The sequence below is a fragment of the Homo sapiens genome, chromosome 12 (genome assembly GCF_000001405.40).
Source record: "Homo sapiens chromosome 12, GRCh38.p14 Primary Assembly".
NCBI classification, from domain to species: domain Eukaryota; kingdom Metazoa; phylum Chordata; class Mammalia; order Primates; family Hominidae; genus Homo; species Homo sapiens.
In genome coordinates, this window is record NC_000012.12 from 71732385 (window position 1) to 71758701 (window position 26317).

The 26317-nt window shown below is 40.8% G+C and overlaps 1 protein-coding gene across 2 annotated transcripts in view, besides 4 other annotated features; it reads left to right on the forward strand.

The window, feature by feature from the left end:
• Positions 15481-15690: a silencer, noted in NCBI's record as "fragment chr12:72141645-72141854 (GRCh37/hg19 assembly coordinates)". NCBI's record gives its function as "represses an EF-1alpha promoter that drives an FKBP-Casp9 reporter gene in an ReSE screen in phorbol 12-myristate 13-acetate-treated (for megakaryocytic differentiation) K562 erythroleukemia cells {active_cell/tissue: K562(+PMA)}" and the evidence as "EXISTENCE:reporter gene assay evidence [ECO:0000049][PMID:32094911]".
• Positions 22251-22540: an enhancer, noted in NCBI's record as "active region_6663". NCBI's record gives its function as "activates an Ori minimal core promoter by ATAC-STARR-seq in GM12878 lymphoblastoid cells {active_cell/tissue: GM12878}" and the evidence as "EXISTENCE:reporter gene assay evidence [ECO:0000049][PMID:35858748]".
• Positions 22479-26317, forward strand: part of RAB21 (RAB21, member RAS oncogene family) — a 45424-nt gene continuing 41585 nt past the window's right edge. For both annotated transcript variants that reach the window (NM_014999.4, XM_047428541.1), the window contains exon 1: positions 22479-22904. In NM_014999.4, the coding sequence (NP_055814.1) occupies positions 22746-22904 (159 nt within the window). In that variant the 5' untranslated portion in view covers positions 22479-22745. The remainder of the gene's footprint in view (positions 22905-26317) is intronic.
• Positions 22521-22800: a silencer, noted in NCBI's record as "silent region_4659". NCBI's record gives its function as "represses an Ori minimal core promoter by ATAC-STARR-seq in GM12878 lymphoblastoid cells {active_cell/tissue: GM12878}" and the evidence as "EXISTENCE:reporter gene assay evidence [ECO:0000049][PMID:35858748]".
• Positions 23181-23370: an enhancer, noted in NCBI's record as "active region_6664". NCBI's record gives its function as "activates an Ori minimal core promoter by ATAC-STARR-seq in GM12878 lymphoblastoid cells {active_cell/tissue: GM12878}" and the evidence as "EXISTENCE:reporter gene assay evidence [ECO:0000049][PMID:35858748]".

A 26317-nucleotide genomic window follows, 5' to 3' on the forward strand; every position in this document is an offset into this window, starting at 1 on the left:
AAGGGCAAGATTTACAGTAAGTACATGCTGTTACACAAGGAACAATAGATAAACTCGAAATGGTAGAGGTCTTCCCAGAACAGGAGTTAATCAGAAGTCAACATGGTGGATTAGCATCCAAGATGGAGTTGCTTTGGCCTCCACAAAGATCTTGCTCATATTTTGTTAAATGTGTCTTACGTATTTTATTTTTTTGGATGCTATTATAAATGAGATTGTGGGCAGACACACTAGCTCACACCTGTAATCCCAGCACTTTGGGAGGATGAGGCAGGAGGATCTCTTGAGGCCAGGAATTTGAAACCAGCCTGGGCAACAAGACAGACCCCATCTCTCCAAAAAAAAAAAAAAAAAGAGAGAGAGAGAGAGGCCTGTGCCAGCGGCTCACACCTGTAATTTCACAACTTTGGGAGGCCAAAGTGGGAGAATCAGTTGAGCCCAGAACAACATAGACCAGCCTGGACAACATAGGGAAACTCCATCGCTACAAAAAATAAAAATAAATTAGCCGGGCATGGTGGGATGCACTTGTGATCCCAACTACTTGGGAGGCTGAGGTGGGAAGGTCACTTGAGTTTGGGAGGTTGAGGCTGCAGTGAGTTATGATTGTGCCACTGCATTCCAGCCTGGGCAACATAGTGAGAGCCTATCTCAAAAAAAAAAAAAAAAAGAAAAGAAAAGAAATAAAATAAAAAACAAAAAAAGAGCCTGGGTGCAGTGGTTCTTGTCTGTAATCTCAGCACTTTGGGAGGTCGAGGTGGGAGAATCACTTGAGCCCAGGAGTTCAAGAGCAGCCTGGACAACATGGCAAAACCCTGTCTCTACTAAAAGCACAAACATTAGTCTGCCATGTTGGCGAGCACCTGTAGCCCTAGCTACTCGGGGGCTGAGGCAGGAGGATCGCTTGAGCCTGGGAGGCAGAGATTACAGTGAGCTGAGATCGTGTCACTGCACTCCAGCCTGGGTGACAGAGCGAGACCCTGTTTCCAAAAAAAAAAAAGAGAGAGAGACAGAAACTGTTTTCTAATTTTGATTTCCAAATGTTGCTATTATAAAGAAATACAACTGATTTTGTTTTGTTTCGTTTTGTTTTTTGGAGACGGAATCTCGCTCTGTCGCCCAGGCTGGAGTGCAGTGGCGCGATCTCGGCTCACCGCAACCTCCGCCTCCCAGGTTCAAGCGATTCTCCTGCCTCGGCCTCCCGAGTAACTGGGACTACCGGTGCAAGTTGCCACGCCCGGCTAATTTTTTTAAAAAATATTTTTAGTAGAGTTGGGGTTTCACCGTGTTGCCCAGGCTGGTTTCAAACTCCTGAGCTCAGGCAATCCGCCCGCCTCGGCCTCCCAAAGTGCTAGGATTACAGGCGTGGGCAACCACGCCCGGCCTACAACTGATTTTTTAACATTAAAAATCTTACATTTTGTCCCAGCTACTCGGGAGGCTGAGGCAGAAGAATGGCGTGAACCCGGGAGGTGGAGCTTGCAGTGAGCCGAGATCGCGCCACTGCACTCCAGCCTGGGCGACAGAACCAGACTCTGTCTCAAAAAACAAAACAAAACAAAACAAAACAAAACAAAACAAAACTTATATTTTGTGACTTGCTAACTTCAGTTTGTGGTTCTACTAGCTTTTTTATAGATTCCTTAGGATTTCCTACATCAACTATCTTATCTTCTATGAGTAAAGAGAATTTTACTTCTTTTCAATCTTTTTGCCTTTTATTTCTTCTTATTGGTGTATTAAAATGTCTAGGAACTTCAGTATAATGTTGAATAGAAGCGGTGAGAGCAGATAGCCTTGCTTTGTTCCTGATCTTAAAGGGAAAATGTTCATTCTTTGACCATTATCATATTAGCTGTAGTTTTTCACAGATGTTCTTTAACAGATTGAAAAAGTCCCTTCTATTCATAGCTTGCTGAGAGTTTTAATCATGAGTGTGTGTTGAATTTTGTTTTTTTCTGAATCTATTGAAATAATCATATTGTTTTCCTCCTTTATTCTGTTAGTATAGTGAGTTGCATTCTTTGATTTTTGTTATTGTTGTTGTTAAATCTATTCTGGATTACTGGGATAAACTCCACTTAATCACAGCGTATCATCCTTTTATATATTACTGGATTTAATTTGCCAATTTAAAAAATCACTCTTGTGTCTAGAGTTATGAGGGATATTGACCAGCAGGGTTTTCTTTTTCTTGTAATTTCTGCCTAATTTTCGTTTTAGGGTAATGCTGGCATCATAAAATCAGCTGCAGCCAGGCATGGTGGCTCACACCTGTAACCCCAGCACTTTGGGAGGCCAGGGTTGGAGGAACCCTGGAGCCCAAGTGTTTGAGACCAGCCTGGGCAACATAGGGAGATCCCATCTCAACAAAAAAATAGAGAAAATTTGCTGGGTGTGGTGGCAAATGCCTGTAGTCCCAGCTACTTGGGAGGCTGAAGTGAGAGGAAAACGAGCCCAGGAGGTCAAGACTACAGTGAGATGCGATCATGCTACTGCACTGCAGCCTGGGTGACAGATTGAGACTCTGACTCAAAAACATAAAAAATAAAAATACAAAACATAATAAAATGAATTGAAAATGTTCCTTTGTCCTTAATCCTCTGAAAAACTTTGTGTAGGATTGGTATTATTTCTTCCATTAAATATTTGGTAAAATTCACCAGTGAAGTCATCTGGCTCTGACACTTTCTTTGCTTAAAATTTATAAATCATAAATTCATTTTATTTAACAGCTATAGTGCTATTCAAATTTCCTATTTTTTTGAGTCAGTTAAAGGAATTTTAAAATTCCTGTCTTTACAGGAATTTTAAAATTCCTGTCTTTACAGGAATTTTTCCACTTCATGTAGGCATTAATTCACATGAGATTTTCTTTCATGGATTTTATATCCATAAGATCTGTCATGATATCCCCTCTTTTATTTCTCATATTAATAATTTGAGTTTTCTTTCTTTTTATTCTTGCCAGGTTTATCAGTTGTTTTAATATTTTCAAAGAGGCAACTTTTGGCATTGTGAGTTTTCTCTACTTGTCTGTTTTGCTACAAATAATTATCTTTTAAAGAGATTAAAATATGAGGAATAAATTTAATGTTTCTTTCTCAAAGATTTCCCATTCCAGGTACTCTTCATTCCTTTGCACAGATCCACATTTTCATAATTTTTCTTCTGCCTAGAGAGCTTTCTTATAGTGCACATTTACTTGCAATGAATTTTGTCAGCTTTCATTGATCTGAAAATCATTTTAAACTTCATTTTAAAATTTTTAAATTTAGTTTTTAATAAACCTACATCACTCAACAGTACTCTCATCCAAGTACTAACTAGGCCCAACCATGCTTAGCTTCCAGGATTGGACATGACTTCATTTTTGAAAGACATTTTCACTGGTAGATAATTACTGGTTGAATATTTTTTCTTTTAGCACTTTAAAGATACCATTTGATTGTTTTCTGGTCTGCATAACTTCTCATGAGAAAATTGTTACTTTTTAAAAAATCTTTGTTCCTTTGGCTACTTTTCTCTTCCACTGGTTTTCAACAATTTGAAACTGATTTCCTTTTATGGAGCTTTCTGTATACCGCTTCTACTTTGGGTCTGTTGACTTTTTTGGATCTCTGGATTGACAGTTTTTATCAAATTTAGAAAGTACTTGACCATCTTTCAAATATTTTTGCTCACCTATCTTTTGCTAGGATTTCATTTGCATATACGTTAGACCACTTGATATTGCCCCTTGGCTCAATTCACTTATATTTGGTCTTTTTTCTGTATACTTCATTTTGCATAGTTTCTATTGTTCTTACCCAAGTTCACTGATTGTTTCCTCTGCAATGTTTAATGGGCTCTTAATCCCATCCGGTTATTTTTCATTTAATAAATTATATTTTTATCTCTAAAAATTTTATTAACATATTTTATGTCTTCCATTTCTCTCCTCCTTATGTTCACATTTTCCTTTAATTCACTTGTGTATTTTTTAAATTTATAGTAGCTGTTTTAATGTTTTTGCTCGCCAATTACATCACTTCTGTCGTTTCTTGTCCCATTTCTATTGACTAATTTTTATCCTAGTTATGGATCATATTTTCTGCTTCTTTGCAGGCTGAGCCATTTTTTGTTAGATGCTGGACATTGTGAACTTTACATTGTGAAGTACTGAATTTTTGTATCCTTTTAAAGAGTTTTGATTTTTGTTCTGATGTTCACTTTAATACACCTGAGGATTAGTTTGAACCATTTGAGGCTTTGTATTAAGCTTGTTATGGTGGGTCCAGAGAAGACTTTACTTGGCTGTTTGTCCACACTCCTAAGGCCTGACTCTTCTGAGGGCTGTACCTGATGCCCTGTCTATGACAAGGCCTCTCCAATCCAACTGGTGGGAACACAAATTATTCTCTGTATGAATGCTGGTAATTATTTTGCTCATTCTTTTCCGGTGTCTACTTCCAAAATTCCTTTCAGTCGCGTGCAAATCAGTACTTAGTCAAATATTTTATGAAACCCCTCTACAGTTCTGCAGAAGTCTGTCTCTACTCAATGCCCTACCCTCTAGTTCTCTGTCTCACAATTCTAGCAGCCTAATCTCCCCGAACTGTGATTTCTGTCTTCATGAGTTTTTTGTAATATTCCTTTAAAGTTATTGTAGTATTCCTATGGAGTATGCAACTTTATTCTGGAAGGTAATTAAGTGACTTTTGGATCAACTTCATCTTTTCAAGGTTTGATTTTACGTGTTTTAAGGTAAGTAGAGGTAGCCTTTACTGTAGAACTAGTTTAGCTCTACTATTAAGCTGAAACCCTCTGGGATCTCTACTCAATGGCCCATTTATTCAATGAGGTCTCTCTACTTTCTCTGATGGGCACTAAAATGATCCCCAGGCTTTTGGGAGTTCTAAAAATTTTCTACATTACAGCACCTCTGTAAATGTTCATTCCACAGCATTTGTTCTTTGCCCAGCCTCATGGAGTTTCACCCTTCAGGCACACAGATTTGAATTTAGTCTCAAAGACTCAAGGGAGGAAACCCTATGCAAATTTCTGGAGTTCTTTTTCTAGCTCCTTTCTCTCCTTTTTACTGTCCCACAAATTTTAGCTGCTTCGGAACCCCTGAACTTCAATTACTATCATCCCATCTTAATGAGACCTTCCTACACTGTGGTTAGAAATTGTCCCCAGACAGAAAGCCAGTGCAGTTAAAATGCTCATCTAGATTATTTCCCTTCACTCAAAGATCACAGTCCTGTGCTGCCTGTTGTCCATTTGTTTAATTCCACCCTCTCCACCCTGTTTCTTGTTGTCTACAGTAGGAGGGAGAGGAGTCCCAGAGTAGTTACTTCTTTAAGCATGAAAGCAAAAGTCTAGCTTTGACTTAATAATCAAACTGATTCTTTGTAGCAGTCCCTGAAATTCTTGAACTTACAGAGTCAGTGATTGAAAATGGTTGATGAAACTTCCTTTGCTTTTGAACATGAAAGAAAGCGCATGAGGATGGAGGCAGTAAGATGCTATATTAATGCTGTCAAGCCCATAGTTCATGGCAATAGTCTTTCTAATGAAAATCATGCCGGGGGTATTATTATAAGGCCATAATATCAATTTATTTATTTATTTGTTAATTGACAAATTAACATATTTAATTTCCCTTTTTCCACAGAGCATCATAAGGGGTCCTATTGGGGAAGAGAAGAATCGTTGAGTTTCAGCCAAGCTTTATCTCCTTATTGAATCATAAAAAATAATACAGCTGGCCTGGCGCAGTGGCTTATGCCTATAATCCCAGCACTTTGGGAGGCCGAAGCGGGTGGATCACTTGAGGTCAGGAGTTTGAGACCAGCCTGGCCCACATGGTAAAACGCTGTTTCTACTAAAAATACAAAAATTACCCAGGTGTGATGGCGGGGGCCTGTAATCCCAGCTACTTGAGGGGCTGAAGCAGGAGAATTGCTTGAACCCAGGAGGTGGAGGTTGCAGTGAGCTGAGATCGTGCCACTGCACTCCAGCCAGAGCAACAGAACGAGACTCCGTCTCAAAAAATAATAATAATATAGCTCATAAAATCTATGCCTGGAGAGATTTTCGTGTTTGCTGCTGTAAAAGTGACAACAAATAATATACCCATTATTAATAAATGGTTTTCAGTTATTTATTGATTTAACAAACTATTTTTTAATGCCTACAATGTGCCAGGCACTATAGTAGGCACTGGACATACAAATATAGAGAAGAAACAGCATCTGATGTCAGGGAGCTTATGACACAGTGAACAGTCCAGCTCCTTGTCTTAGTCCACCTGTGCTGCTATCACAATATAACACAGATTGGGTAATTTATAAAGAGCTGAACTTATTTCCCACAGTTCTGGTGGCTGGGAAGTCCAAGATCAAGGTTCTGTGTCTGGTGAGGGCATTTTCCTCATAGATGGCACCATCTAGGTGTCATCACATGTCAGAAAGGATGGAAGGGCAAAAGGGGGATGAACACTATGTCCTTTCACATGGTGGAAAAAGTGAGAAGAGTGAATCCATTTTCTCAAGTCTTCTTCTAAAGGCCCTATCCCATCCATTAGGGTTCTGCCCTCATGACTTAATCACTTCTTACAGGACTCCATCTTTTAGTATCACATTGCCGATTAAGTTTCAACATAAGAATTTTAAGGGGCCCATTTAGACCATAATACTTCTGAGCATTTCATTATGATACATTATATAACTGCAAAAATAAGAATGTATATAGGGCATTATGGGAACACAGAGAAGAAATATCTAATGCAGTTTAGAGGAGAGAAATTTGTAAAGTCAAATACAGCAGAAAATGCCAGAGGAATAACTAAGAAATGTCTATTGGATTTGGCAATATGAAGATTATGGTTAATTATATCAGAATAGTACTATGGGAGCAGATGGCATGGTTAAGAAGTGAAAAAAGTAGAGACAATGCATGAAGACATCCTTCTTGAAATGTGGATTAGAAATGGAAGAAGAGGCCGGGCGTGGTGGCTCAAGCCTGTAATCCTAGCACTTTGGGAGGCCGAGGCAGGCGGATCACTTGAGGTCAGGAGTTCGAGACCAGCCTGGCCAACATGGTGAATCTCATCTCTACTAAAAATATAAAAATTAGCCAGGCCTGGTGATGCGTGCCTGATATCCCAGCTACTCAGAGGCTGAGGCAGGAGAATCACTTGAACCTAGGAGGCGGAGGTTGCAGTGAGCTGAGATTGTGCCGCTGCACTGCACTCCAGCCTGGGTGACAGAGACTCCATCTAAAAAATAAATAAATAAATAAAAGAAGAAGAAGAAGAAATGGAAGAAACCCCGTTAAAGGTGGTGAAGAAATATAGTGTGGGATTAATACCTGAAGCCCTAGTGCTTGCATTTGGAAACTGCTCTAATGTTTCTTAGTGTGATCTTGATCCAGTTACTTAAACCTCTCTGTCACTTGGTTTTCTTTTCTTTTTCTTTTTAGATGGAGTCTTGGTTTGTTGCCAGGCTGGAGTGCAGTGGCGCGATCTCAGCTCACTGCAACCTCCACATCCCAGGTTCGAACAATTCTCCTGCCTCAGCCTCCCTCCGAGTAGCTGGGACTAAGGTGCGCACCACCACGCCCAGCTAATTTTTGTATTTTTAGTAGAGACAGGGTTTCACTAGGTTGGCCAGGATGGTCTCGATCTCTTGACCTCATGATCCACCTGCCTCCGCCTCCCAAAGTGCTGGGATTACAGGCGTGAGCCACCATGCCTGGCTGTCACTTGGTTTTCTTAATCTGTAAATTGGGACAATACTAATAATGCTCATAAAATTGTTATTAGGATTAAATTAGTTAATACATGTAAAAAGAAGTCTAGTACATGGAAAATTCTGAATAATTGCAACCATTGCCATTATTATTAAGTAGGAGAATTGAAAGTTGAGGGAGAACATATCTATCAATCTAGTTTTTAGTAATCAAGAAGGCAAAGTCATCTACTGACAGTACCTGTTAATGGGCTTAATTTGGACTGGGAATACCAATTAAAAGACAGAGATTTTCAGACCAGATTAAAAAGCAAGGCTCAACTATATGCTTTCTATAAGAAACCCATAGACATAGATTAAAAGTAGAAGGATAGCTAGGCATGGTGGCTCACGCCTGTAATACCAGCACTTTGGGAGGCCAAGGCGGGCAGATCACAAGGTCAAGAGATTGAGACCATCCTGGCCAACATGGTGAAACCCCGTCTCTACTAAAAATACAAAAATTAGCTGGGTGTGGTGGCGCATGCTGTAGTCCCAGCTACTCGGGAGGGTGAGGCAGGAGAATCCCTTGAACCTGGGAGGCAGAGGTTGCAGTGAGCCAAGATCGTGCAATTGCACTCCAGCCCGGCGACAGAGCGAGGCTCCATCTCAAACAAACAAAAGTAGAAGGATAGAAAAAAATATACCCTGCAAACAACAATGAAAAGAATGCTATAATATCTATATTAATATCAAACACAGTAGACTTCGAAACAAGGAATAATATCAAGAATAAATAGGTACATTACATAATAATAGAGGGATTAATTTTCCAAGAAGACAGAAATCCAAAATGTGGATGCACCTAAAAATAGAGTTTCAAATACGTGAAACAAAAACTAATAGAACTGTTGGCCAGGCATGGTGGCTCACACCTGAAATACCAGCACTTTGGGAAGCCAAGGCAGGTGGATCACTTGAGCTCAGGAGTTCAAGACCAGTCTGGGCAACAAAGTGAGACCCCTATCTCTATAAAGAATACAAAAATTAGCTGGGCATGGTGGTGCATACCTACGGTCCCAGCTACTTGGGAGGCTGAGGTGGGAGGATAGCTTGAGCTTGGGAGGCAGAGGTTGTTACAGTTAGCTGAGATCCTACCACTGCACGCTAGTCTGGGTGACAGAGCCAGATCCTGTCTTCAAAGAAACAAACAAACAGATAAACAAAACAAACAAAAACAAACCTAACAGAACTGGAAGGAGAAATGGACAAATCCACAATTGAAGTTGGAGATTTGAGGAGACAGAAAATCAATAAAAATAGAAAAGATCTCAACAACTTTATCAATCAACTTGACCTAGCTGACATTTATAAAAAACTTCATTCAACAACAGCATAGTGCACATTCCTTTCAAATACACTTAAAACGTTCACGAAGATAGATCAAAATCTTGGCAATGAGACACTTAAACTACAGTCATCTGTCAGCATCCAAAGGAGATTGGTTCCAGGAACCTGAGAGGAAACAAAAATCTGAGTAGTGTTTGTGTCTAACCTATGCCCATCCTCCTATATACTTCAAATGAGAGTTCATAATACCTACTACAATGTGAATGCTATGTAAATAGTTGTTATACTGTATTGGTTTTTATTTGTATTACTTTTTATTGTTGTATTGTAATTTGTAATTTTAATTTTTTTGAGACGATGTATGGCTCTGTTGCCCAGGCTAGAGTACAGGGACACAATCTCGGCTCATTGCAGCCTCAACCTCCCAGGCTCAAGCAATCCTCCCACCCCAGCCTCCTGAGTAGCTGGGATTACAGGTGCATGCCACCATCCTTGGCTAGTTGTTTTTCTGGTTGTTGTTGGTTTTTTTTTTTTTCTTTTTTTAGAGATGAGGTGTCACTACATTGCCCAGGCTGGTCTTGAACTCCTGGGCTCAAGTAATCCTCCTGCCTTGGCCTGCTAAAGTCCTGGGATAACAGGCATGAGCCACCATACCTGCCCTTTTTATTTCTTAAAATATTTTTTGTCTGTGGTTGGTTGAATCCTCAAATATGGAACCAGTGGATACAGAGGTCAGACTGCAAATCAAAGAATAAAAATCATATGAAGTATGTTCTCAAGCCATAACAATCAAATTATAAATCAATGACAGAAAGAGATGTTATGGCAAATCTCCAAATATTTGGAAATTAAATGACACATTTTAACATCGCTGTATCACTTTCTATTGCTGCTGTAATGGAATTATCATGATTTTAGTGGCTTAAAAAAACACAAATTTATTATCTTACAGTTCTGTAGGTAAGAAGTCTAACATGGGTGTCACTAGGTTAAAATGAAGGTACAGGGGCTGGGCACGGTGGCTCACCCCTGTAATCCTAGCACTTTGGGAGGCCAAGGTGGGCAAATCACTTAAGATTAGGAGTTTGAGACCAGCCTGGCCAACATGGAAAAACCCTGTCTCTACTAAAAATACAAAAATTAGTGGGGCATGTTGGCACACACCTGTAATCCCAGCTACTCGGGAAGCTGAGGCATGAGAATTGCTTGAACCCCAGAGATGGAGATTGCAGTGAGCCGAGATCACGCCACTGCACTCCAGCCTGGGCGACAGAGTGAGATACTGTATCAAAATAAATAAATTAAATTAAATTAAGTTAAAGTATAGGAAGGGCTGCATTCCTGTCTGGAGGATATAGGGGAGAGTCATTTTCTTTGCCTTTTTCAGCTCCCAGAGGCCACCCACATTCCTTAGTTCATAGGTTCTTTTCCTACATCTTCAAAGCTCACAATGGTGGATCCCATAACTCTGATTTTGCTTTTGTAATCACATCTCTAACTCTCACTTCCACTTTAAAGAATCGTGTAATTACTGGAAACACCTGGGTAATCCAAGGTACTCTTACTATTTTAGGGTCAGATGATGAGCAACTTTAATTCTATCTGCAACCTTAATTCCCCTCTTTGCCACATAACTTAACATATTCACAGGTTCCAGGAATTGGGATGTAGATATCTTGTGGCCAGGGCAGGGGGAGGGCATTATTCTGCTTTCTACAATAACCCAACCATCAGAGTGAAAGTCTCAAGGGAAATTAAATTATATATAGTATATTTAATATAAATTATATATTTATTAATAAATATATTAGCCAATACATCTATTAATATTTTATCAATAAATATCTATTAATAAATATTATATCAATAAATACATCTATTAATAAATATATCGATAGATATCTAGTAATAAATATATCACTATACCTATTAATAAATATTTTATTAATAAATATATTCATTAACAGATATATTAATAAATACATCTTTTAAATGTTGAATTATATTTATAACATATAAATATATATTTATATTTCTATATAATTTAATATATGTATGTATATTATAATTTACATATAATTTAATATATGTATGTATATATTAAATTATATATAATATATGTATGTATATATTAAATTATATATAATATATATGTATGTATATATTAAATTATATATAATATATATGTATGTATATATTAAATTATATATATAATATATGTATGTATATATTAAATTATATATATAATATATGTATGTATATATTAAATTATATATATTTTGTCACCCAGGCTGGAGTTCAGTGGCACACTCTCAGCTCACTGCAACCTCTGTTTCCTGGGTTTAAGCAATTCTCCTGCCTCAGCCTCCCGAGTATCTGGGGCTACAGGCCTGTGCCACTATGCCTGGCTAATTTTTGTATTTTTAGTGGAGACAGGGTTTGACCATGTTGGCTAAGCTGGTCTTGAACTCCAGAACTCAGGTGATCTGCCCACCTCAGCCTCCCAAAGTGCTGGGATTACAGGCGTGAGCCACCACACCTGACTAAATATATATATTTTTAACTGAATGAAAATGAAAATATACCATGTTGAAATTTATGGATGCACCTAAAACAGTGCTTAGAAATATATAGCATTAAGTACTTATAATAGGAAAGAATAAAGATCTCAAGTCAGTCATCTAATTTTCCATGTTAAGAAACTGGAGAAAGAAGAGCAAATTAAACCCAAAGCAAGCAGGAAGTAAGAAATAATAAACAGCAGAAATCCATGAAATTGAGAATTGAAAAATAGTGGAGAAAAATCAATAAAACCAAAGTGGACTCTTAGAAAAATAATTAAAATTGATAAATCTCTAACTTGACTGACCAAGAAACTGAGAATACTTAATAACCAATATGAAGAATAAAAGAGGGAAGATCTCTACAGACCCACAGACACTAAAGGATAATAAGGGTATGCTATGAACAACTCTAATTAGGACCAGAAGTAGACTGAGGAAAGTTCATAATAGTGGTAAAGGAGAATAAGAGAGGAAGCTGAAGCCAGAGGAATATAGGGACTGATAGCCCTGAGAATGAAGTTAGTAACTATGAATTTGTATTGATGCACAAAATTCAGGTGGCTTAGAAAATTGTTCCAGAAGTTCACTTTAAGGTTGGTGTTTTGTGATGATGCAGTGTAAATATAAGGATATATGAAAATGAAATGTGCTGGTAAGAGTTTAGATACTCAATGCGGAGTCTGAACCTGGTTGTGAGCAGCGTGGGAGTATGAGGCAGCTAGAAGTCAGGGAGAGGGAGAGAGACCAAGAGAGGACTGGTGGATGGACTGGGGAGGGAGGCTGCGCTTGGAAGTTCAAGGAAATGGAAGTTTGCACAAAAGCCAAAAAAAAAAAAATAGTGAAAATGAAGTCATAAGAATAATACCTTTAGCCATTTATTTTGCACCTACTGTGTTTCAGTCATTATTCTATACATGGGATATAATGGTAAGCAAAACAGGCAGATCTCGACTAGTTCAGGAACTTACATCTTTAGTACTGATAAATAAGTAATTATAATACTCAATAATACATGCTAGGAAGTACTTAAAAAGGGGTATAGGAGAATGGTAAGATTTTGTTTTGTTTTAGAGATAAGGTCTTGCTCTGTCACCCAGGCTGGAATGCAATGTCATGATCATAGCTCACTGTGGCCTCAAACTCCTAAGCTCAAGTGATCCTTCCATCTAAGCCTTGAAGGTAGTTGGGACTACAGATGCGCACCACCATGCCTAGCTGATTTTATTTTTTTAAAAATTTTTGGTAGAGATGATGGGGGGGTCTCACTATGTTGCCCAGGCTGGTCTTAAACTCCTGGCCTCAAGTGATCCTCTTGCCTTGGCCTCCCAAAGTGCTGGGATTACAGTGCAAGCTACTGCGCCTGGCCTAACAACAGCTGGATTTTAATTAAAATCTTTTCCAAGTAGGAATGAGTAACCAATAGGAAAAAACACTCAAATAAGTGGTACTGAATGGTATAATTCTCAGTATACACTAGTATTAATACTTACAAACTTCCCATTCGACTACAGCTATCCCAAAGCTCTCCAATCTCAACATCACAAATCTGTAAGAATCCTCAGCCAAATTATTTCACCAGGGCAAAGCAATTTCTTTATTAAAGAGGCTTTTAAAATTCTCTACACTGACTGATTTCTCAAGAAGATGCGAAAGAATAGTCATTCAGGCCCATCTCAAATAGACAAATATCTCTAGAATTTCCAGTTTCATATGACTAGTGGCATCTAGTTTTTAAAAATCAACATACTGCAGACTGACTCATTGAGACTGTTACCATTCTGAACTGAAACTTTTTAGTAATTAAAAAATTGCTGTTCACTTTGGGAGGCCGAGGTGGGCGGATCACCTGAGGTTGGGGGTTCGAGACCAGCCTGACTAACATGGAGAAACCCCGTCTCTACTAAAAATACAAAGTTAGCCGGGCTTGGTGGTACATGCCTGTAATCCCAGCTACTTGGGAGGCTGAGGCAGGAGAATCGCTTGAACTTGGGAGGCGGAGTTTGCGGTGAGCTAAGATTGTACCATTGCACTCCAGCCCAGGAAACAAGAGTGAAAATCCATCTCAAAAAAAAAAAATTGCTGTTATACATCCTATTACCAATCATCTCAAACATACACTTCCATCTGATATAATTAGGTAAGCTTCATGCCATGGTTATTTCAAAATACAATTTCTAAAGGCAAAATAAAATACAATTGGCCCACCATTTGTGGGTTCTGCACCTGTGGATTCAACCAACTGAGGATAGAAAATATTCAAGAAAGAAAATGTCTGTACTCCACATGTACAGACTTTTTTCCTTGTCATTATTCCCTAAACGATGTAGTATAACAACTATTTACATAGCATTTACAATGTATTAGGTATTATAAGTAATCTACAGATGATTTAAAGTATACAGAAAGTTGGGAGGCTGAGGTGGGTGGATCACCTGAAGTCAGGAGTTTGAGACCAGCCTGGCCAATGTGGTGAAACCCCATCTCTACTAAAAACACAAAAATTAGCCAGGCGTGGTGGTGAGCACCTGTAATCCCAGCTACTCGGGAGGCTGAGGCAGAAGAATCACTTGAATCCAGGAGGTGGAGGTTACAGTGAGGCAAGATCACGCCACTGCACTCCAGCCTGGGCAACCAGAGTGAAACTCGGATGTGCATAGGGTATATGCAAATACTACACCATTTTATATAACAGACTTGAGCATTCATGGATTTTGGTATCCATGAGGAACCCTGGAACAAATCCCCCATGAATACTGAGGAACGACTTTACATATTTATGACTAAACAACGTTTTCGGTTTCTTTACTTGCCTTCCCTTTTTAACTCTTGAGAGTGTATATTTTTAGTAGAAACTGGTGGAAAGATCTGAGAAGCTGAACATTGGACTTAAATTCCTTCTTTGACAAACATATGTAAAGTTTCTTGGGACACTTTTAGTTAACAACTTAGGGAAAAATGGCTTGTGAACTGTATCTTCTCCCCTTTTCCACCCAAGAGTCATAGGATTTTGGAATATTCTTGTTTTCTACAACTCAGAAAAAAATCTCCCCATGGTTTCCTTCTTTTTAATGTTGAAGGACACCTAAATTTTGAATTACGCTGGCAGCTTTAAATGTATGCTGGCCAACCTGGTAAATTTTATTGGGCTGCTAGTGCCTCTCTGTGGCCAGTGACTACAATTACAGCTCAGTTTATTGCCAGTGAGAAGCATTTGAAAGATTGCTTCAGATGTACAAATAGTGGCTTTGGAAGCTGCAGAGGCCAGGCATGGTGGCATTCACCTGTAATCCCAGCTACTCAGGAGGCCGAAGCAGGAGGATCACTTGAGCCCAGGAGTTCTAGACCGGCCTGGACAACATAGTGAGACCTCCATCTCTATTAAGAAAAAAAAAAAAAAGCTGCAAAGAACCTAGGGGAATGAGATTAGAACTGACCCAAAGCTGTGGGGACCTGGGCTACACCGGGGAGGGTAGATAGCTAAGCAGGGACTGGATTTTGATTGAAAGGAGAAAGGGGTGTGCATGCTGGGTAGATATCAAACATGATCACTACACATATTGTAATTGTTTCTGTGTTGCCTCCCACACTAGAATATGAGCTCCATGATGGCAGAGACATCTTGCCAGGCACTCAACAACAAAGGTTGCTGAATGATTGAGCAATAAAGGAATAAATGGGATTCATTCATAGAAATTACACATTAGTTGATAGCTGCTATTCTATTACCCTTATTAGAGGCTTAAGATGGAAAATGCTTTGAGTAAATTTTTTTTTTTTTTTTTTTTTGAGATGGAGTCTTGCTCTGTTGCCCAAGCTGGAGTGCAGTAGTGCGAACTCGGCTCACTGCAACCTCTACCTCCCGGTTCAAACGATTCTCCTGCCTCAGCCTTCCGAGTAGCTGGGATTACAGGCACCCACCACCACGCCTGGCTTATTTTTTGTATTTTTAGTAGAGATGGGGCTTCACCATGTTGGCCAGGCTGGTCTCAAACTTCTGACCTCGTGTCATCCACTTGCCTGGGCCTCCCACAGTGCTGGGATTACAGACATGAGCCACCACACCCGGCTGCTTTGAGTAAATTTTATTTAACAATGCTCCATATGCCCAGGAGTATTTCTCAAACCTCATTTTTAATACACAGTATTTTATAGGCTTAGCTCCATTCATTCCTTTGTTTCAGTTAACACATATTAATTGAGCACTACATTCCAGAAACTGGAGATACAAAAATGTGACAGACACAGTTCTAGCGCATAGCAGACAAAATCCCTGCTTTGCTGGCAAACCCCCAATTTCAGCTCCCTCCACTGTGGCAGCTGCAGGAATCGTGTTTTGTTTTGTTTTTCTTCAGGTTCGTTTATCTCTCCTGTTGTACTCCTGTTTTTCTACACTTTAGCTCCTAATACTCAACTTATTCTTTTTTGAAAGGATGCATATTATAGTATATTAACCCAAATTCCTTGAAATTTCTTGTACTTGTAGAAAAGTGATATAGAAACAGTGCATCTGTAAGTACTAGAATTTCTCCAAGTAGTTATAAAAGTGTTTTTGAATTCTCCTTTTGTCTCTGAGGAAAAATCTAATTAGAATAAGAATGTATTTTCTGTAACAGTTGCTAAAAGGAACCAATGTTCAATGGAGGATTAAAAGTGCCTTGGGGATACAAGATAATTCTACGTGGAGAAATGAAGCTGAGAAAATACTTAAATGACTATGTGAAAGACATGCATAGATAATACTGGCAAAGTTGGAAATAGTTTCTTCGAGCTTTTGAGTTTCTTATTCTTTTACTACTTGTTCAGCCCTACTCTCTGTTTGCCTCCATAACTTAATATAACCAGTGGATTTATAATTATGACGGGCTGTAAAAATATACACACTTCATTAGGCTAAAGTAGGGTTTCTTGACCTTGGCAACATTGACATTTTGGGCTGGGGCACTTGTTGTGGGGCACTGTCTTGTGCATTGTCAAATGTTTAAATGCATCTCTAGCCTCTTCCCACTAAATGCCAGTAGACAAAATATCACCAGATATTACCAAATGTTCCCTGAGGAGCATAATTACCCCTGGTTAAGAACTAGTAGACTAAATCAACCATCTTTAGTTAAGTTCCTGAGCAAGTTTATTTCAACTCCTACCACTCAGTTGAAACCGTTCAAATCAAAATTTCAAATTGCTCTCTTGTAGCTAAACCAGTAGATACTTAAGACACATAAAGACCAGTCCATACTTAACTTCACCTCTCCAAAACATTTCATGATTCCCTTTTTCTTAGAATGTTCTCTTCTCTCCTTGACATTAACTTCCCCAGTTTTCCTCTAATTTCTTTGTGTATCTCTTTGCAGCTCCTGTTCCTCTACCCATCTCTTAAAAGTCATTGTTCTCAGGTGCTCTGTCCTAGGCCCTCTGACCCTCTCACTTTATACACTCTCCCTGGGTGATCTCCTCTACCCCTGTGGAAGCTATTTCTCTCTGTGCATTGATGATGTCTTTGTCCTTTTCTCAAGCCCAGATCTCTCTCCTAAGCTGCTGGTTCATAAAACCAATTGCCTACTAGATATTTATACTTGAGAATACCTCAGGCACTTCAAAATCAAAATGTACAAAACCAAGAAAGTACAATCAAAAAATGTTTTCTTCCTCCTGTGTTTTTTATTCCAGTGAAAGTCATCACCATTTACCAGTTGACTAAACCAAAACTGCAGGATTCATTTTTTATTCCTCCCTGTCTCTAACTTTCTCACTTTTCGTAACCATTGTTCCCCAAGTCTTGTTAACTCTACCTTCCAAGTCAGTGCTTTACAAACTTTACCATGAATAAGAATCACAAGGAGGGATTGTGAAAGAAAAGTTTCTTCTTGGATTCAGTTGCAGAAATTCTGATTTAATGGGGGTGGGGGATGGCAGAATTGTATTTCTAACAAGCTTCTAACTGCTGCTGTTGCCCTGAAGACTGCATTTTATGTCACACTGTCCTAAAAGACTTCTCATTGTTCCTATAGTAAAGCCCAAGCATGACTTTCAAGGTTGTATAGAATCTTATTTACCTCTTTACATTCATCTCTCACCATATATTTTTTCAATGGTAAATGAATGAGTGAAGGATGAATGAACCAGAGATATACAAAGGCCATTGACAATCCTCCATTCCAAATGAAAAATAAGAATTATCTGACTCCTTGACTCTAGCTATTTCATCAAAATTCAACAATTGAGGTCTCTACATGGTTATATGATCATACTGGGATTCATGATATTGGTCTTTTTTTTGTTTTTCCTTGCAGATGGGGTCTTGTTTTATCATCCAGGCTGGAGTACAGTGGCATGAACATAGCTCACTGTAGTTTTGAACTTCTAGGCTCAAGTGATCCTCCCACATAGCTGGAACTATAGGTGCATGCCACTATGCCTACTTATTTTCTAAAATGTATTGCAGGGCCAGGCACAGCGGCTCACTCCTGTAATTCCAGCACTTTGGGAGGCTGAGGCAGGCGGATCACTTGAGCCCAGGAGTTCAAGACCAGTCTGGGCAACACAGTGAAACCCCATCTCTACAAATACAAACAAATTAGCCAGGCATGTTGGTGTGTACCTGTAGTACTAGCTACTCAGGAGGATGAGGGGGGAGGATCACTTGAGCACAGGAGGTCGAGGCTGCAGTGAGCCAAGATTGTGCCACTGCACTCCAGCCTGGGCAACAGAGTGAGACTCTGTCTCAAAACAAAAAATATTGTAGAGACAGGATCTTGCTATGTTGCCCAGGATGGTCTTGAACTCCTGGCTTCAAGCGATCCTCCTGCCTCAGCCTCCCAAAGTGCTAAGATTACAAGTATGAGCTACCATGCCCGGCCCAGGACATTGGTCTTAATTCACAAACGTAGTGCAAGAACAGGGGGAGAAAGGAAGAGTCATTCCAAAAACTAGGTCTCATATACATTATAAGTAGTCCATAAACTCAACTTTATAACCACCACAAAATGGGTGAGGTTGTTCTTTCCCGCCTACAGAATTAAAGCTGCATTTTACCTCTGTGCAACAATTTTTCCCCATTTGATATTGTGCTGCATGTTCATTGTTAACTTGATTTCACCTGTATAATTATTCCTGTTTTTTACTGGGGGAAGAGGAGCTACATGAATTTGCACCCTATCATGCCTCAGTCCTCACCATTCAGGAATATGTTTTGAGTTATGCACTCACTGAAGTGTCCCCATATTTTTGCAGCTCTTCTCTACGGAGGAACTGGAGCTCTAGTGTTTTTTTTTTTTTGTGGCAGTCCGTGTTAAGTTTATACAGACCAATCATAGTTGACTCTAAGACTGACCTAAATTCTTAAGGGCGTAGAATCTATCCCAGAATTGGCCTGAATCTCTTTCAATGCTTTGACTGTTATGGGCTACTTGTTTTCTCACAACATACTTAAGTACGTTTCTTATGGCTGCTGTAACAAATGATCACAAACTTGGTAGCTTAATACAACACACATTTATTCTCTTTTAGTTCTGGAGGTCAGGAATCAAAATTAGTTTCACTAGGCTAAAATCAGCATATCTGCAGGGCTGAACCCCCTCCAGAGGCTCTAGGGGCTTCTTGTCTTTTCCAGCTCTGGTGGCTGTAAGCATTCCTTGGCTTATGGCTACATTGCTCCATAATCTGCCTCTATGGTCACACTGCCTTCTCCTCTTCTGGGTGTGAAGCATCTCTTTCTGCCTCTCTCTTATAAGGATACTTGTGATTGCAGTTAGGGCCCACCCAGATAATCTCCCCATCTCAAGATCCTTAACTTAAATCAAAAAGACCTGTTTCCCAAATAAGGTAACATCTACAGGCTCCGGAATCTAGGAGCTGATATCTTTAGGGGCCGTTATCAGCCTATTACAATTTACATCTATATTTACCCACTCTGTGCTCAAAAGTATGCCAACCTACTTATTGTAACCCATGAAAACTTGCACTACCTTCTTAAATGTCAACGTAAGCTAAATGTAAAAACTTATTTTAACTTCGAAAATTATTTTGGCTGAGTGTGGTGGCTTATACCTGTAATCCCAGCACTTTGGGAAGCTGAGGCTGGAGGATTGCTTGAGCCCAGGAGTTCAAGACCAGCCTGGGCAACACAGCAAGACACGCAAGATATCGTCTCTACAAAAAAAATTAAAAAATTAACCAGGTGTGGTGGCACACACCTGCAGTCCCAGCTACTCGGGAGGCTGAGGTGGGAGGATTGCTGGAGCCCAGGAGGTTGAGGTTGCAGTGAGCTGTGATTGTGGCACTGTACTCCAGCCTGGGCAGCAGAGTGAGATCCTGTCTCACAAAAAAATTATTTTGTTTTACAATAAAAAAATTTTTAATTGCTTTGATTTAGTGATAAATGCAAAGTAATGCATTTAGTTTCTAAGATGACCAAGCTGTTAAATAATCAAATGCACACAATTTGAAAAGTTGTTGAAAGGATTGGCTGTATCAAAAAGAAGAAAGGAGAAGGCTTAAAGGAAGAACACACAGCCTTCTTCATATGTTTATAGGGAATAGGGATTCGATATATAATGTATAAATATAAACAGAAATAATTAATTGCAGGTGAAGAGAGGCAGATTTCAATCCAATATGAGGAAGTGCTCAGAAAGAACAATGGAAGGTGCTCTCTCAAAATGAAGTTCTTTTCTAGTTCTGGAAGTGTCTATAAATGTGCAAAGACCCTAAGGGGAGGAATGTGGAGGAGAGAGTTGGAAAATATATCTTTAGATACAATCATGAGGATATTTTATAAAACATAGAGTCTCTTTAATGGTTGGTTCTAAACAAATCTAAAATATTATCCTTCTCCAATTCACTTTTCAAATGATAGCCAGAGTGGTCAAATCTGATTATGTCAGTCATCTTACGAAAATCCTTCATTTGCTTAAAGACCCTTTCAGTATTGATCCCCAACTTCCTCATGGTCTCTTCTGGAGTTTTTTTTTCCTCCCTAAATTCTAGTCACATTTACAGTTGCTCAACTTTAGATGCTCCTTCCTATCTAAAGCCATTGAACATGCTGTTATCTCTGTTTGCAGAGCTCTCCTGTCCTTCCTGACTAGGTTACTCTTACCCAAAGATAACTTTCTCCAGGGAAAGCTTCTCTAGCATGCTAAATCAGTTGGGTTCTCATATATGCTTGCAAGATACTCTGAACTGTTTCATCAAGATGAAAGCATTTATTGTACAATTGAGTATGTCTGTCTTCCCTGATAAAATGTAAGCTCTGTGAGGACAGAGACATTTTATCTTGTTGATCACAGTGCCTGGCATATGGTGGGCACATTTAAATATTTGTTGAATGAATTAACCGACTCTCTTTTTTTTTTTTTTTTTTTTTGAGACGGAGTCTTCCTCTGTCGCCAGGCTAGAGTGCAGTGGCGCGATCTCGGCTCACTGCCACCTCTGCCTCCCGGGTTCAAGCGCTTCCCCTGCCTCAGTCTCCCGAGTAGCTGGGATTATAGGCTTGTGCCACCATGCCCAGCTAATTTTTTGTATTTTAGTAGAGATGGGGTTTCACCATGTTGGCCAGGATGGTCTCGATCTCCTGACCTTGTGATCCGCCCGCCTCGGCCTCCCAAAGTGCTGGGATTACAGGCATGAGCCACCACGCCCGGCCTCTTTTTTTTTTTTTAACCTGGTTTGAAGTGTGAAAGAAGTTTGATTTTTAAAAAAATGTTTACCTGACACCAGGTTTCCAGTAAATTTTCAGAAATATTAGTATGATTTCTTGGAGGAGTATGGTTTCTTGGAGGCAGGCCGGGCGTGGTGGCTCACACCTATAATCCCAGCACTTTGGGAGGCCGAGGCAGGTGGATCACTTGAGGTCAGAGTTCAAGACCAGCCTGGCCAACATGGTGAAACCCTGTCTCCACTAAAAATACAAAAAGTAGCGGGGCGCGGTGGTGGGCGCCTATGGTCCCAGCTTCTCGGGAGGCTGAGGCAGGAGAATCACTTGAACCAGGAGGCAGAGACTGCAGTGAGCTGAGATCACGCCACTGCACTCCAGTCTGGGCGACAGAGCGATACTCCATCTCAAAACTAACAATACAAACAAACAAAAAAGAATGGGGATGCAGATGAGAAAAAACAAGCAATCATCGAACAAGCCACCTCAAGGTGGAGTACCATGGAACGTCAGAGGCTTCATGAAAGTCAGAAAAACTGAAGAGCACTTGGGGTTAGGAATTCAAAGGTGGGCAGCTCTTATACAGACCTTGCCCTCAACAAACCTATAGTCTAATGAGAGTCGATAAACACTTAGCAAAGTATTAATAATATCCATGGAGTGTGTAAAGCCCTAGTAAAGGAGGTATACTGGTGGTAAGAAATACCTAATTTTGTGAGGTGGGGGAATGGAAGGATGGGGGAAGGATTGGGTGGTCAGGGACGCGGTTTAAGCTGAGACTTGAAAGATGATGGAGTAGTTGACCAGGCGGTCAGAGGAACTTGGAAGCGCTATGATTCGGGATCCCACAGAGAGAGATTCAAGGGCACCTTGGCAGATATGGTTTACAGTGACCTCTGGTGTGACAGATCATTAGCATTGTGAACATGCAAAAACGATGAAGTTCTGCCCTTCATTTCACCAGAGCTGGGCTCGCCTCAAATTCCTGGTTCCTTATTCCCGCTGGCTCCCACCAACTGAAAAGCAGAGGTGGCTCGCAAGCGGCGGGGCTCTGCCCTAGATTGCCAGTAGGCGCTCGACTCACATCCAGCTCCACCCCGGGAGATGCCCCAGAAGCCCCGCCCACGTCCAGGCACGTTCTTCTGGGGCTAGTCGCAGGGGCCGCCCCGGCACCGGCGCTCACGTGACCCGAGGTGTGACGTAGGAGGAAGGAGACGCCATTAGAGGGAGGCAGAGAGGGATCGTTCTTCGCTTTTCCTCCGGTGCCTGACGTGGTGGGCTGGGGCCCTTCATTCTCGGACTTTCCCTCAGCCCTTCCAGGCCTCGCCCGAGGAGGGCGTGGGGACAGCGCCCGGGTCGGCGGGGCCGGGGCGGTGGGGGCTGAGCCGGCCGTGGCTGTGAAGGCGCTGCCGCGGCTGTCGGGAGGGCGGCGCGACACTCGGGCTCGGGCGGCCGGGAAGCGACGGGATGGCTGCGGCCGGCGGCGGCGGCGGCGGGGCGGCGGCGGCGGGCCGAGCCTACTCGTTCAAGGTGGTGCTGCTGGGGGAAGGCTGCGTGGGGAAGACGTCGCTGGTGCTGCGCTACTGCGAGAACAAGTTTAACGACAAGCACATCACCACTCTGCAGGTGCGGACCTCGGGGAGCGGGAGGGGGCGCCTCAGGGCCCCTACCCCTCCGGGGCTGGGGAAACTTTGCCGCCCTGGTCCCCTGGATGTAGGCTGGCAAATCTCAGGCCTGTCATCTCCGCCTTCGGTTTACCTTTCCGAATTCGCCCTGGGGAATCACCAGGTCGGGGCAGCCTGTAGACGCGAGGACAGGCTGTTGGGAGGGAAGTGGAAGGGCCCTGAAAAGTCCCCAGTGTTCCCCGTGGTGGCTGCGCACGTTGTGGTCTCCGTCCGTGGGCTGTTTTTTCCCATTTACTGCAGTTCCTGGGTCCCAGGTGTCAGTGTTGCAGTCTCCAAATGTTAGCTCCTTTTCTTTCTTTCAGAATTAGGAACTTAGCTGCGTATTTGATTTTGCGAATTAGGTGATTTGTAACTTCAGCGCTTACTGATGACTAAGTGTTTATGCAAGTTCCATTTTGTCCTGAGTAACAGGAATGGCAAAAGAGCCATCTCTGGAGGTTTTTTGAAATGACCGCTTGCCTAGGCGTGTTACGCAGTTTCATTGCAGCCTGCGTGGGTCTGACTTGCGGGTCACTCATATTCTGCGAGGTCGATTGACCCACGCTGAAACATCAAGTGAATACTGGCCAACAATTGGTCCCCAGACTAAAAGCCGCTGCTGTTACTCAGTTTCTTTACCTGTAAAATAAAAGGTCGGCTTTCTTCCACAGGTACATTGGAAAGGTGTTAAAATGTTATCATTGATTGAGAGTGAAGCCAGGCCTTTGAGGGAGTTGTACTCACCCCACCTCTCCCAGAGAAATCAGTTTTGATGTTATTAGGAGAAATTTATCCTACTAATTTGACTTACCAATTTGGTCAAAGGCAGTAAAGTCTAGTGGACTTTTGAGCCTGATTGTCCAGGTTCATGTCTCACCTCCATCCATTTAACTAGCTGTGTCATACTGGGTAAGTTACTTAACCTGTCTGTGCCTGTTTCTTCTGTTAAAATGGCCATAATAGTAGTATCTAGCTCATAGGGTTGTCAGGATAAATATACAGAAAAAGCACTGATGACCTGGTCCAGTGTAAGTTGTCTGCCTTTAATTACCGCCCCAACTTGCACAATAGGTCTTAATTAGTAAATGTGTAGTATGTGAGAACATCGACACTACTTAATAGAATGCGTAATCTCCTAATTGTTGTGACATTGGATGTTTGATGCTATTATTAAACTACTGAGTCTAGAATTTACAAGACGCTCTGGCTCTGATTCCATGTTCTATTTTTACTCCTCTGATTTTACTCGTATGTAAAGCATATCTGAAAAAGTGAGTGCCAGGAAACTGCATTTTTAAAAAATCCTTGTACCAGAACACTGACAAAATTTTAATAATGAATTGTTATTGTTCAGTGTCATTAGTGAGAGCCTGGTGTTTTAGATCAAGAAAATTCACTGGACAAATACCTAGGATCATTTGGAAGTTTAGAGATTTACTTAGGTAAAGTAGTAACAATAGCTAACATTTAGTGAGTTCTTACTGTGCTGATTATTTTGCTTGCTTTCTGTCTGCTTGCTTTAATTCTTATAACACCCTATGAAGTGGATAGTTTAGTGGATAGCCCTACAGCTGAGGAAAAACGTTTAGTTGAGTAATTTTGCTGGCAGTAATATTACCACAAGTCAATGGGGCAGGAGTGTCCAAGCTCAAATTTGAACCCCTGTCTGACTTCAGATTTTGAGCAATTAAATCACATTACCTCGGTATATTGATAAATAACCCATCTAGTGTTTTCCTTTATGCAAAGATCTAAGATAAAAGAAAACTATTGTAATTGAGGTCTCCACGTTTTTTTTCAAAAGATAACTTGAGTCTTGCCCTGTCGCCCAGGCTGAAGTGCAGCAATTTCCACTCACTGCAACCTCCACCTCCTGGGTCAAGTGATTCTCCTGCGTCAACCTCTCAAGTAGCTGGGATTACAGGCACACGCCACCACATCTGGCTAATTTTTTTGTATTTTTAGTAGAAACGGGGTTTCACCATGTTGTCCAGACAGGTCTCGAACTCCTGACCTCAGGTGATTTGCCCACCTTGGCCTCCCAAAGTGCTGGGATTACAGGGGTGAGCCACTGCACCTGGCCATACCCTTTCAACTTAAAAATTACACTTCCATTTTAAATTTCTAAAACATTCTTGAAACTGAAAGCAGAGTAAAGGTTTTTAAATATATGAAAAGCCACTGTACTCCACAGAGGGGAGGATGAAGTTATAGTAGATATCCAGTATTAATATCTGAATTATATTATAGAATTTAGGATTTTGTTGTACACCAATGTATGTAAACAGCAATGTGTCTAATCTCTTTCAGAGATACCAGTTAACCTCATCTTTCTTAACAATTTTTCAGAGGAATTTGATTTATGTGACTTGTAAGACACAACTTTGTATTCTTTTAATTTCCAAATGGAGAGGAAATCATGTCAGAAGATATGAGAGGAAGAGTTCACCTTTTTTCTCGTCAACAGAGTACCTGTCTATGTAAACTACTTTGTATTTTATAAAGTACATTCTCATACATTTCAAAGAATTGCAGGATTGACAGGAATTTAAGACAGTTATGTATGGATCACTATTTTGGTCTTCTAATGTTTAGTCAAGTGATTGTCCCCCTTTTTTTTTTTAACATCTTGGAGGTGAAATGAACTGGTATTATGGAAAGTGGAAAGCTCACTTTGTCCTAAGGTGTCCCATTTCATTTTTAAATTTTTTTTTTTTTCTTTTTGAGATGGAGTCTCACTCTATCACCCAGGCTGGAGTGGAGGGGTGCGATCTCGGCTCATTGCAACCTCTGCCTCCTGGATTCAAGTGGTTCTCCTGCCTCAGCCTCCCGAGTAGCTGGGACTACAGGCATGTGCCACCATGCCTGGCTAATTTTTGTATGTTTAGTAGCGATGGGATTTTGCCGTGTTGGCCAGGCTGGTCTCGAACTCCTGACCTCAGGTGATCCACCTGCCTCGGCCTCCCAAAGTGCTGGGATTACAGGTGTGAGCCACCACTTCCGGTCCTATTTTATTTTTAGTAGTTTTCAGTCCTAATTCTCCCCACTGAGTCTTGGTGTCTCATATGACATTCCTTCTGATAGTTGAAGATAGCTATCTTGTCTTCTCTTGGGTAAACAACTCTGGCTCCCTTAACTGGATCTCCAGTGACAGTGACATCGTTTTAAATCCTTTCACTTTTTTTTTTTTTGGAGGCAGAGTCTTGCTCTAGTGGTGATATCATAGCTGCCTGCAGCCTCCAACTCCTGGGTTCAAGTAATCCTTCCACCTCAGCCTCCAAGTAGCTGGGACCACAGGCGTGCGCCACCATGCTCGGCTAATTTTTTTTTTTTGGTAGAGTTGAGGTTTTGCTATGTTGCCCAGGCTGTTGTAGA